Source organism: Homo sapiens, chromosome 9 (assembly GCF_000001405.40).
Source record: "Homo sapiens chromosome 9, GRCh38.p14 Primary Assembly".
Lineage (NCBI taxonomy): Eukaryota > Metazoa > Chordata > Mammalia > Primates > Hominidae > Homo > Homo sapiens.
The window spans coordinates 98,097,268-98,110,039 of record NC_000009.12 but is presented as its reverse complement, the minus strand read 5'-3'; the positions used below and the strand labels follow the sequence as shown (position 1 = coordinate 98,110,039).

Below are 12,772 nucleotides of genomic sequence, written 5' to 3'. Positions count from 1 at the left end.
TGTTATTTGGAAAGTGACAGTATTACGACTTTTTTCCTAACTCCCTCCTGTACAGAAACTCAGCCAAGAATGTTTAAAGCAGCTGGCAATCAAGAAGCAGCAGCACATTGACAACATAACCCAGATAGAAGATGCCACCGAGAAGCTCAAGGCAAGTGGACATTTCTTCCTCATACCCATGGAAAGACCCACATTTCCCCCCAGACAAAAGGGACCCCCAATATGGAGCCAATGAAAATAAAAACCAACTGCGAAGGGGCAGATGGTGGGGCCTGGAGCTTCTATAATTCAGGGTTCTTTAGAAAAAGAACACAAAATTACAGACAAAATTAGGTGCAAGACCATGAAGGGGCTCTGCAAGTGAGGGGCCCTGAGCTCCGGTTTCCTTTGCTTTGTGGCAAATCTCTGGTTCCTTAGTGTCATCTGCCAGTCTCTTGGAGGAATTAGCCCATTATCCCAAATTGCCTTAAACAAAGCAAAACACAGCTTAAGGAATATGCAGATATCTCTTTAATTCCACTGCCATGCTGAAAGAAAGCAAGTAGGGTAAGATCTGTTCCACAAATAGGTACTTTCTTCACTCTCCTTTCATAATGATGTTTGAGTGGATTCTCTGTGGATTTTGAATGGGAACTTGAGGCTGATGTTATTCTAAGTAACCATTTTGACATGACAAAGTTGTTGTGTTTTTAGGGCCTCAGGGGCTGGTCATTTCCCCTTGCATCCTCCGTTGCTCCCTCCCCCTTTCATCCTGTTGCTCCCTCCCCCTTTCATCCTCTGTTGCTCCCTCCTCCCCTTCATCCTCTGTTGCTCCCTCCTCGCAGTGAGGGCTGGGGTGGGAGGCCCTCCTGGGGCCTGCCCCACTGAGAGCTGGAAGAACCCCTGCTCTGCACTTTGGGAGGCCAAGGCTGGAGGATCACTTGAGCCCAGGAGTTCGAGACCAGCCTAGGCAAGATAGTGAGACTCCCATCTCTACTAAAAATAAATAAAATAAAATAGCCAGGTATGGTGGTGCACGCCTGCAGTCCCAGCTGTTTCAGAGGCTGGGGTGGGAAGATCGCTTGAGCCCTGAAGCTTGAGACTGCAGTGACCTAGGATCACGTCACTGTGCTCCAGCCTGGGCAACAGAGCAAAACCCTATCAAAAAAAAAAAAAAAAAAGGAACCCCTGACTGATTCACACAAGAGGAGGAGTGGCTGTGACCATGGGAGAAGCTGGCACCCAGTTTCTCCTGTGACCAGGCCAGGCCACAGAATTGGCTCCCACATTTGCCTAAAGTCCATTCTCTGTCAGTTGTCTTCATGACAGTTTGCCAGTACCCTGAAGACGTTTGTAGTTCACACCTGTGGTCCCAGCTTAATAGTGTCTCTCATGTCTTCACAAGCAGAACTCTGGGCTAGGAGATAGACAGTACCAAAGGATTTAGAAAGTGAAAGCTGTCACGTTGGAAGGGTTGTGGGGAGGCCTGAAGATCAGGCTCCCTGTCTGCAAATGCCTGAGCAGATATGGTTTGAGGGCCCCCAAGAATTAGGACCCATGTGGAGGGTCTAGTCTTCCCCAGGCCACACTGGAAGAATTGTCTTGGGCCACACATAAAATACACTAACACTAACAATAGCTGATGAGCTAAAGAAAAAAAAAATATCCAAAAAACTCATGATGTTTTAAGAAAGTTTACAAATTTGTGTTGTGCCACATTCAAAGCTGTGCTGGGCCACATGCGGCCCACAGGCTGCAGGTTGGATAAGCTTGGCCTGAGGGATGGCCTGGGGTAGGTTTCAGCTTAATCTAAGCCATGGTTCTCTTTCTCTTGACCCTTTCCCCAACTAACTTTTTAACTTTTTATAGATTTAGAGGAAGTTGCAAAAATAGTAGAGTTTTGTGTACCTTGACCTAGTTTGCCCCAAGGGTTACTTGTTACATAACTATAGCACACTATCCAAAAAAAAAAAAAAAAAGGATGGTATGTGTGTATAGTTTTATGTCAACTTATCACATGTATAGATTTGCATAACCACCACTGCAATCAAAATGCAGGCTATTCCATCACTGCCAAGTTCTACCTTCTTCTAGGCCAAGCGAGGTGGCTCATGCCTGTAATCCCAGCACTTTGGTAGGCTGAGGCAGGCAGATCATTTGAGGTCAGGAGTTCGAGACCAGCCTGGCCATCATGTTGAAACCCCATCTCTACTAAAAAAAAAATACAAAAAAATGCCGGGAATGGTGGCGCCTATAATCCAAGCTACTCAGAAGGCTGAGGTGGGAGGATCGCTTGAACCCAGGAGGTGGAGGTTGCAGTGAGCCAAGATCATGCCTCTGTACTCCAGCCTGGATGACAGAGCGAGACTCCATCTTAAAAAAAAAAATCTACCTACACCTTTATGGTCACCTCCCTACCCACTGTATCCCCCCGACCAATCCCTAACCCCTGGCAATTATTAATTTGTTTGATAATTGTTGCATTTGAAAATGTCATAAAAATGGAAAATGATCTTTTGAGGTATTTTTCACTCAGCAGAATGCCCTTGGGATCCACCCAAGTTGTTGCAAGAACCACTAGTTCATTCCCATGTATTGCTGAGTAGTAATATTCCACTAATCCGATAGTATGCATGTACCATAGAGGTTTTTTAAACCATTTACCTATTGTAGGCTGTTTGGTACAGTCTAGGGCTATTGCAAATAAGGCTTCTTTGAACAGTTGTGTCCAGGTTTCTGTGCGGACATAAGTTTTCATTTATCTGTGTTAGATGCCCAGGAATGCTATTGCTGGGTCATATGGCACCTGCCTGTTTTGTTTTTTAAGAAACTGCCAAACGCTTTTCCAGAGTGGTTGTGCCATTTTACATTCCCACCAGCAATGCATGAGAGTGTGTTTTTCTGCATCTTTGACAACATTTGGTATTGTCACAAGTTTTTATCTTAACTTGCATAATCTGTGTGTAGTGATACCTTATCATGGTTTTAATTTGCATTCCCCCAGTAGCTAGTGATGTTGAGTATCTATTCATGTGCTTGTTTACCATCTCTACAAAAAACTAAAAAATCATCCAGGTATGGTGGCACATGCCTGTAGTCCCAGCTACTCAGGAGGCTGAGGTGGGAGGATCGCTTGAGCTCAGAAGGTTGAAATTGCAGTGAGCAATGACCATACCCACTACACTCCAGCCTGGGTGACAGAGCGAGACCATGTCTCAAAAAAAAAAAAAAAAAAGAAGAAAGAAAAGAAAAAGAGTTTGTTGGGATTTTGATAGGAATTGTGTTAAACCTGTTTATCAATTTGGGGAGAATTGACATTTTTACTATGTATTCTTCCAATCCATGAATATGGTATATCTTTCCATTTATTTAGATCTCTGTTTTCTTTCATCAGCATTTTGTAATTTTCAGCATACAAATTCTGTATGTTTTGTTAGACTAACACCTAAGTGGCCTTCATAAGGTAATAAGAAAAATGGAATTAATAGTCAGCATTTTAAACCTGAGACATATTTGTATAAAAATTTATAGTTAGGAAATTAGAAAGATATTGCCACCCTATGCCTGCACTCTCATGTGGGGGCAGATGGAGCTGAGCAATGGCTACTCCCATGGCATGGGATCTCCCAGCTCCACCCTGCCCACTTCCTTCAGTGTTAACAACCTGGCTCCTGTGAGCATTTATATTCAATTCCTGATCAAGAAACATATTTTTAAAAATTCATCCATAATCCTGCATCCTGCCACTTCAGGCCAACCATTATTCACATTTTGAGATTTTTTTCCTGTATATGCATATGCTTTTAATGTAGCTTGAGTTATATTGTACATACAATTCTAATATATCCCCAATCTGGAGGTGAGGCATGGTGGTTCATTTTCTTGTGTGGTTTGTCACGTGTATTATCATCTTGTCTCCAGTAGCTATTTACCATAGATGTCCAATACACTGTGGATTGTGAGTGTGCCCCTTCAGAGCACTGTGACATGAGCATCTTCAGGAGATGCTAAGAGTTTCAGTAGCTCCAGACTCATTTTCATATTATTTTTCAGTTTTGAGTTTCCGTGAATTTGGACTCCAACCCTGCTTAATGCAAAACTGTTGTTTTATTTGTTTTGCTGGTGATTTTCTTTTCACCTGTGACCCTGGATGAATGACTAGATTCCTCTTCTTTTCCCTGGGCCCGGGGGTGGAGTTTTTCTGGTGCTAGTTGATGGATGGAGCAGCTCTTTGTGGATCTGACTTGATGCAGGTCACTCCTTTCCACTCTCAGCTGGAATGTGGCCAGGTACTCTGTGCTCCCCCTGGATGGCCAGGCCCCATTGTGGCTTTCGTCTGCATGCATGCACCTCTGGCTCCACTCCTTCCAGGTCACTTAGCTTCAGCTCCTGCCAGGTCACTCACACTGTGTTTCCTCTTTGGTTTTGGCATCAGTGAATTTACTTTGTTTGTTTGTTTTTTTGTTTGTTTGTTTGTTTTTTGAGACAGAGTCTCGATCTGTTGCCAAGGCTAGAGCACAGTGGCGTGATCTCAGCTCACTGCAACCTCCGCCTCCTGGGCTCAAGCAATTCTCCTGCCTCAGCCTCCCGAATTGCTGGGACTGCAGGTGCCCACTACCGTGCCTGGCTAATTTTTGTATTTTTAGTAGGGATCGGGTTTCACTATGTTGGCCAGGCTGGTCTCGAACTCCTGACGTCAAGTGATCCTGAAAATGCAGTCGGCGGGGCTCAGCCCCTCTGTCCTACAGAGCAGAGCCGGGGATGGGCAGGAAATGGGCCTGAGACACAAGGGCCCAGCCTGGCACCAGACCCAGAACCCCTGCGGGTGGAATAAGGAGCCTCAGTTGCTGGCTCCATGCCTTTCTCTGTGACCCGCAGGAGCTGTAGGGACTGAGCCAAGGCTTGGGATCAAGGCACCAATGGGGGGACATGAACCAGCCTTTGCCAGACTGGGAACAAAAAGATGGGGACCCTGCCAGGCCATGCTGCTGACAAGGCCACTGGTGTCCATTGCCCCTGCTGGGCATGGCCACTCCCTGCCTCTTCCTGCCTGCCATTGCCACCATAGCAGAGTCTAAAGAGTCCCCATGCTAACGTGGTCTGGGCAAGGTTGGACAGCATGCCTTCTTTCCCTGGTGGTGCATCCCATGAGAGGCATCCGTGGGAGGGTTGTTGGAAGTCATACTGAGTTTTCAGCAAAACAGCGCCCTCCTTTCATCTCCTCACTCTCCACAGGACCCAGAGGTGGATTCACACAGCAGCCCACACTCTGAGTGCAAAATCCCCCAGCCTTCCCTGACCGGGGCTTCATGGCTGTTCAGCTTCTTTCTCTTCCACAGTCCTTAGACCCTGCTCAGCTAGACTCTGTTAGGCCCTCACCCAGCCACCAGCTCTCTTCAAAGCCCAGCCCAGTTCAGCTGGGATCTTCACTTTGAACCAGTGGGACCCAAACCAGATGGCGTACTTCCTTATTTCATGACCATGATATTCTCTTGCTCTCTTTCTCTCTCTCTCTCTCCCCTTCCCTCTCTCTCTCTACCCCTTTCTGACCATATTGCATAATCAGCCTCATCTGCTTATACAAGAAGTTTTCTGGTGGCTGTTTTCCATACTGGTTGCCACTGTGCTGAGAGTTAGAACAAGGTATAGCGTCGTGAAGCTTCTTTTGTATTTTCTACTTTACAAAGTGGATCTATAAAAACTGCTTGGAGCATAACTTGGTTGGGAGGAGATATTTGCTCTCTTGGTTTCTCTGCAAAGGTCCTCTGTGTACTTACGTTGCTTCAACATGTGTTCATAAATCAAGAGTTTGAAATACATTTTATTTTCTTCATTTGATCATTCAGTAAATATATATTTGTGTCCAGGCTCATTGACCCATTGCAACCATAAAAATGTGGACTAATTCCCAGGCTAGCTTAAAGCTATAATCCATAGGCCTGTGTATGAGCTAGCCTCTGAACCTATCCATAGGCCTGTGGTATGAGCTAGCCTCTGAACCTATCCTCTGCCTGGAGCATTGGATAGGAAACACAGATTTAGAGAACTCATCTCCTGTTTGCTGCCAAACCACATGCTGTCCCCCTGAGAACACGGTATCACGGGAGCCTGCCCACCCCTCGTGACTGGCTGGGTGCTGGGTTCATTCTGCTATGTGGACTGTGCAGATGTTTGGGCTGAGGAAGGGAGCTGGCCTATGTTTAATTTTTTTTTTTTTTTTTTTTGAGACGGAGTCTCGCTCTGTTGCCAGGCTGGAGTGCAGTAGCACAATCTCGGCTCACTGCAACCTCTGCCTCCCGGGTTCAGGCGATTCTCCTGCCTTAGCCTCCCGAGTAGCCAGGACTACAGGTGCCCACCACCACACCTGGCTAATTTTTTATATCTTTAGTAGAGACAGGGTTTCACCATGTTGGCCAGGATGGTCTCCATCTCCTGACCTCGTGATCCATTCGCCTCAGCCTCCCAAAGTGCTGGAATTACAGGCGTGAGCCACCGTGCCCAGCTTTAGTGTTTTTTTAATTGTATAAATAATACATGAACAAATTGTCATTTTTTAAAATTTAAACAATGGTATAGTATGGAACTACATAAGGTACAAAGTGAGAGCCTCTCTTTTCCCTTACCCCCAATCCCATGCCTCTTGCCAAATATGACCACTACTAACAAACATTTTAATTGCACTTGCAAATATATAGATGTATACATATGTCCATATACAGGTTTTGTTTTATTATGTTTTACATAAATTTGGATTATCTTGCTTATATTATTCTGCAGCTTGTTCTTTTTCACCTGTTTTTTTTTTTTCTGGAGAACTTTCCCTGCCAGGACATATAGGTCTACTGCATTGTTTTTTGTTGTTGTTGTTTGTTTTTGGAGATGGAGTCTCGTTCTGTTGCCCAGGCTGGAGTGCAGTGGCATGATCTCGGCTCACTGCAACCTCCGCCTCCTGGGTTCAAGCAATTCTTTGCCCCAGCCTCCTGAGTAGCTGGGATTACAGGCGCCCGCCACACGCCCGGCTAATTTTTTTGTATTTTTAGTAGAGACAGGGTTTCACCATCTTGGCCAGGCTGGTCTTGAACTCCTGACCTCATGATCTGCCCGCCTCAGCCTCCCAAAGTGCTGGGATTGCAGGCGTGAGCCACCGCGCCCAGCCTACTGCATTGTTTTTGTTGTTATATTTTCTTCTTCTTTTTTTTTATGGTGATAAAATATACATAACATAAAATTTGCCATTTTAACCATTTTAAAGTATTCAATTCAGTGGTATGAATTATATTCACAATGTTGTATAGCCATCACCTGTGTCTACTTCCAAAACTTTTTCATTATCCCAAACAGAAACTCTGAAACCATCAAGCAATTACTCCCCATTTCCCCTCTCCCAGCCCTTGGTAACGTCGACTCTACTTTCTGTCTCTATAAATTTGCCTGGTCTAGATGTTTCACATAAGCGGAATGATAAATTATTTGTCCTTTTTTGTCTGGCTTAATTCACTGGGGATGATGTCTTCGAGGTTCATCCATGTTTAGCATGCATCAGCACACTGCATTCTTTGTAATCGCTATAAATTATTTCATTGTACGAATGTAGGACAATTTATATAATGAACCGATATACATATCCCATATTGAAAATTGTGCCAAATATGTCATGGTTAACAACTGTCTGAGGCTGGTGCACAGGGGAATAAAATAATTTACCAAAACAGCATTGAGTTTAGAAAGGCAGATTTATTTAGAGAAAAGGGGGAGATACATTGAAAGGGAGCAATGGGTGAGACAGCAGAAAGAAGACTGTCTGCAAAGAGGCAGGAGCTGGAGGTGGAGTTTTCTAAGGTTGTGCTGCTTGAGCTGAATGCTTGCAGACAGGATGCCTGGGTGCAGGTGGACTGTGAGTTGAGTGCTTGTAACAGGATGCTTGAGTGCTAGTGAGCTGTTTGTGGTTGACCCTATTTCTCAGAACGTTCGCTCCCCACTGCTGTTGTTTCTGTTTCTGCTAGTGACGCCCATTTTTCAATGTTTTTTTCTTTTCTTTTTTTTTTTTTTTTTTGAGTCAAAGTCTTGCATTGTCGCCCAGGCTGGGGTGCAGCGGCCTGATCTCAGCTCACTGCAAGCTCCACCTCCCGGGCTCAAGTGATTCTCAAGCCTCAGCCTCCCAAGTAGCTGGGATTACAGACACCTACCACTACACTTGCCCAATTCTATTCTCTATGTGTAGAAGCTATATACTGAGAATCTTGGTACACAAATCTTCATGCACATGTGAAAGCATTTTCTAGGATATAAGTAAAGTAAGAGGAATTGCTGCATGAAAGAATAAATGTATTTAAAACTTTGAGGCCAGGTGCAGTGGCTCATGCCTGTAATCCAGCACTTTGGGGGACCAAGGCAGGCAGATCACCTGAGGTCAGGAGTTCAAGACCCAGCCTGGCCAACAGTGACTCCCTGTCTCTGCTAAAAATACAAAAATTAGCCAGGCATGGTGATGGCCACCTGCAGTCCCAGCTACACGGCTGAGGCAGGAGAATCGCTTGTACCCGGGAAGCGGAGGTTGCAGTGAGCCGAGATCTTGCCATTGCACTCCAGCCTAGGCGACAAGAGCAAAACTTCGTCTGAAAAAAAAAAAAAAATTGATAGCTATTGTCGTATTGTCCTCTAAAAGCGAAGTACCAATAGACCCTACCACCCACAGTTTATATAAATGCCCTACTTCACATACCCTTACAGACTGTATTTCAGTCTCTTAAAAGTCTTCCAATCTAATGATCAAAAACTATTTTCTGGGCTGGGCATGGTGTCTCATGCCTGTAATCTCAGCATTTTGGGAGGCTGAGGCAGGTGGATCACCTGAGGTCAGAAGTTCAAGACCAGCCTGACCAACATGGTGAAACTCCGTCTCTACTAAAAATACAAAATTACCTATGTGTGGTGGTGCGTGCTTGTAATCCCAGCTACTCAGGAGGCTGAGGCAGGAGAATCGCTTGAACCTGGGAGGCAGTGGTTGCTGTGAGCCAAGATCGCACCACTGCACTCAGCCTGGACAAGAGTGAAACTCCTTCTCAAAAAATAAAAATAAATAAATAAATAAATAAAAATTGTTTTGTATTTCATCTAATTGATTTATTCTTTGGGCTTTATGTACAGTGTTTTAGTTTAACTGGACCTTCTCTTTTGTTTGTTTTCCTTAACCTTTCATTGTGGAAAATCTCATATTATTTTAATTATTTTTACTTTTATATTTTTAGTACAAAAAATACAAAAATTTGTTCTAAAATGCCACTGTTACACCACACATACACATACATACATTTCCATATATAATTTGAGTTCTTTTAAAAGCTCTTTATTTTGTACTTTTGACCTCTTATCTATGCTTGAGCCACATGGTTTTAGATCCTGTAGATTTATTGTTTTGTTATCAGATAAGGCAGATAAGGCAGATAACCTCTTATCAGTTTTCTCTTTATTGATTTTTTTAAAGCAATTTTGGCTTTTCTTATGCTTATTCTCTCTCCTAATGATTTAATAATTTTTAATCAGCATGTTAAGATTTTGATTAGAATTTCATCAAATTTATAGACTAATTTAGAGACAAATAGTGACTTTATAGTAATCAACCCTCCCAGTCACGAATATGGTTTTGTATTAGGTATATTTCCACATATTTTGCTATTTTTTCTCCCATTTTCAAAAGGATCTTTATTTCTCCGTGCATTTTACGATCGGTGATGGGCTGGTGCTTAGGAAAGCTTTGGTTTTTATAAGTTGATCTTGTGTCTGACTGGCCACTTTACTGAACTCACATTTCAGACGTTATGATTTTTTTCATGTTGATTATTCTGGATTTCCTGGTTGGCAGACATGTCATCTGCAACTGGTTTTTCTGTTTTTAGGCTAATGCAGAGTCAAGTAAAACCTGGCTGAAGGGGAAATTCACTGAACTCAGATTACTACTTGACGAAGAGGAAGCGCTGGCCAAGAAATTCATTGATAAAAACACGCAGCTTACCCTCCAGGTGTACAGGGAACAAGCTGACTCTTGCAGAGAGCAACTTGACATCATGAATGATCTCTCCAACAGGGTCTGGAGTATCAGCCAGGAGCCCGATCCTGTCCAGAGGCTTCAGGTAATGCTGGGGTCACTGCTCTTACTGCTGCCACCTGCCACCCACACTTCATCTCAAGTATTGTGGCATTGAGCACAGTATTGACACACTAAGCAAGTACATGGACTATTGTCTTGTCACCATGTAGACTGTCTTGCCCCCACACAGGTGGTCAAGAGAATATACATTGTTAGGAAGATAATACACCTCTTGGGCTAATTAAATAATATTAACAGCCACCAATTTCAAAGGCCCCTGTGTCCTGAGCACTGTGTAGTTTAGCACTAATATTCACCAGAACTCTGCAAAGTGGGCTCACCCCATTTTATAAACAAGAAATTGAGGCTCAGTGAAGTGACTCACCTGGTCTCACACAGCAGGTAGGTAGCAGAGCTGGTATCAGGTCTGGCTGTCTGTCTAGGTCTGTCTGACTCTAAACCCACAAGGGACCCTGCCTGGCCCTCTGACTGTACAGTCTTTTTTTTTTTTTTTTTTTTTTGAGATGGAGTTTCTCTCTTGTTGCCCAGGCCGGAGTACAGTGGTGCGATCTCAGCTCACCACAACCTCTGCCTCCTGGGTTCAAGCAGTTCTCCTGGCTCAGCCTCCTGAGTAGCTGGGATTACAGGCATGTGCCACCATGCGTGGCTAATTTTGTATTTTTAGTAGAGACAGGGTTTCTCCACGTTGGTCAGGCTGGTCTTGAACTCCTGACCTCAGGTGATCCGCCCACCTCAGCCTCCCAAAGTGCTGGGATTATAGGTGTGAGCCACCGCAATCAGCCTGCCTTTATAGTCTTAAATTGAGACACCCCACCTGAAAAGGCAGGTGTCCTTGCAGCTACTGAGCACATTTCAAAGGCTGAGTCACAGCTGGCTCAATGGTACTCCTTGGCCACTGGGCTTTGTTGAGGAAGAGTCTAAGAAATAGCCCCTGTGGCAGATCACTTGAGGCCAGAAGTTTGAGACCAGCCTGACCAACATGGCAAAACCACCTCTCTACTAAAAATACAAATATCAGCCAGGCGTGATGGCGTGCACCTGTGAGGCTGAGGTGGGAGAATCACTTGAATCGGGGAGGCAAAGATTGCAGTGAGTAACGAGATCATGCCACTGCACTCCAGGCCGGGTAACAGAGTGAGACTCTGTCTCAAAAAAAAGAAAAGAACTAGCCCCAGGGATAGTCATTGCTACATTTAGAGAAAGCATGTTGTTGAGGATGGTGTTCCTGTCTACTTTTTTCTTTTTTTTTGAGACGGAGTCTTGCTCTGTCGCCCAGGCTGGAGTGCAGTGGTGTGATCTCGGCTTACAGCAAGCTCCACCTCCCACCATTCTCCTGCCTCAGCCTCCCGAGTAGCTGGGACTACAGGCGCCCCCCACCACGCCCAGCTAATTTTTTGTATTTTTTAGTAGAGATGGGGTTTCACCATGTTAGCCAGGATGGTCTCCATCTCCTGACCTCGTGATCCGCCCCCCTCGGCCCCTCAAAGTGCTGGGATTACAGGCGTGAGCCACCGCACCCGGCCGATGGTGTTCCTGTCTTTAGGGAACCGTGGAAGAAACTGTTGTCTGGTGTCAATATCCCTGTGCAGTCACTTCTGCACTAGAATTGCTTTTCCACTAATAGAGCTCCTCCTGTTTCCTTCTTTGCCTTGGGAAGTTCAGAGCCAAATCTGCTTTGACTAACCAGACTAAGGCTTCATGGCAAACACTTTGTGTCTAATTTTCTCTTAGCTTCATTTTTCTCGCTATAAAGAAAAATCTTGCCTTATTAGAGGACCTTCACAAGACACTTTAAAGGCTGTGGGACAAGGCAGGGTACAACTAAAAGTGGCACCAACTCTAACCACAGATTAGTATGGGCTCTGGCTGGAAAATAAGACAGACAAATAAGCCAGTCAACACAAAACCCGCCAAGCCAGTCTCCAGCTGGGGATTTCCACTCTTGTGTCTTTATGTGGCCTCAGTCGGTTCAGCCTGTGTCTCATTGTCAGCTGTTTGAGCCAAATTCTGGATGAAGTGTTTTCCTAGGCATAATGGGTGTTGTGCTTTAAGAGAGGCAAGATGCACAAAGTGTTACATGTAATTGTCTCTTTTTAAATAATGGTCGTTTTTAAGGCTATGGAATACAAAGGAATCCTTCCATGGAGAAGCATGCTATTCTCACATCAGAAAACGGTTTCAGGGCTTTGTCATCTTTTTTTTTCAAATTCTCTTGGGCCACAGCTAATGATTTTAATCATTCACCGTTCCCACCTTCTATGTGTTCATTCGTTTATTCATCAATATGTACTGAGCCAGGTCACTTGCTGGACATTAGGAGCTCACAGTTGGGTGGGGGACTTGCTCAGAAACAGTTATTTACAATACAGCTTAAACAATTTTGTAAATATGAAGCTAGCAAAATTATGTCCAAGAAATGTCTGACACTCTCTGGCTGGGAGAAGGATGCAGTCTGGGAAGACTTCTAGGAAGAGGTGATGGTAGGGTTGGGTGCTGGACAATGAGTAGGAGCACACTGTATATAGAGAGGACGCAGAGAGGACAGACAGGAACTGTGTACATGTGAGAGCTTGACAGGCTGGGGAACCAGCTGGGGTGCAGCCTGACTTGAGGAGAGGTGAGGGTATAAGGGTGGGGGGATTGAGAGACACAGCTGGATCCATAGGCCATAGTTAGTTCATGAAG

General features: G+C 44.6%; 1 protein-coding gene across 11 annotated transcripts in view, besides 2 other annotated features; it reads left to right on the top strand.

Moving 5' to 3' along the window:
• Positions 1-12,772, top strand: part of TRIM14 (tripartite motif containing 14) — an 83,426-nt gene that overhangs the window by 9,183 nt on the left and 61,471 nt on the right. For all 11 annotated transcript variants that reach the window (XR_929880.4, XM_047424162.1, XM_047424161.1 and 8 more), the window contains 2 exons: positions 56-151; positions 9,876-10,109. Coding sequence is in view for 10 of the 11 variants with exons in the window: in XM_047424162.1 (XP_047280118.1) it covers positions 56-151; positions 9,876-10,109 (330 nt within the window). In the remaining variant the exon portion in view is untranslated. The remainder of the gene's footprint in view (positions 1-55; positions 152-9,875; positions 10,110-12,772) is intronic.
• Positions 7,965-8,084: an enhancer, noted in NCBI's record as "active region_28690". NCBI's record gives its function as "activates an Ori minimal core promoter by ATAC-STARR-seq in GM12878 lymphoblastoid cells {active_cell/tissue: GM12878}" and the evidence as "EXISTENCE:reporter gene assay evidence [ECO:0000049][PMID:35858748]".
• Positions 8,345-8,394: an enhancer, noted in NCBI's record as "active region_28689". NCBI's record gives its function as "activates an Ori minimal core promoter by ATAC-STARR-seq in GM12878 lymphoblastoid cells {active_cell/tissue: GM12878}" and the evidence as "EXISTENCE:reporter gene assay evidence [ECO:0000049][PMID:35858748]".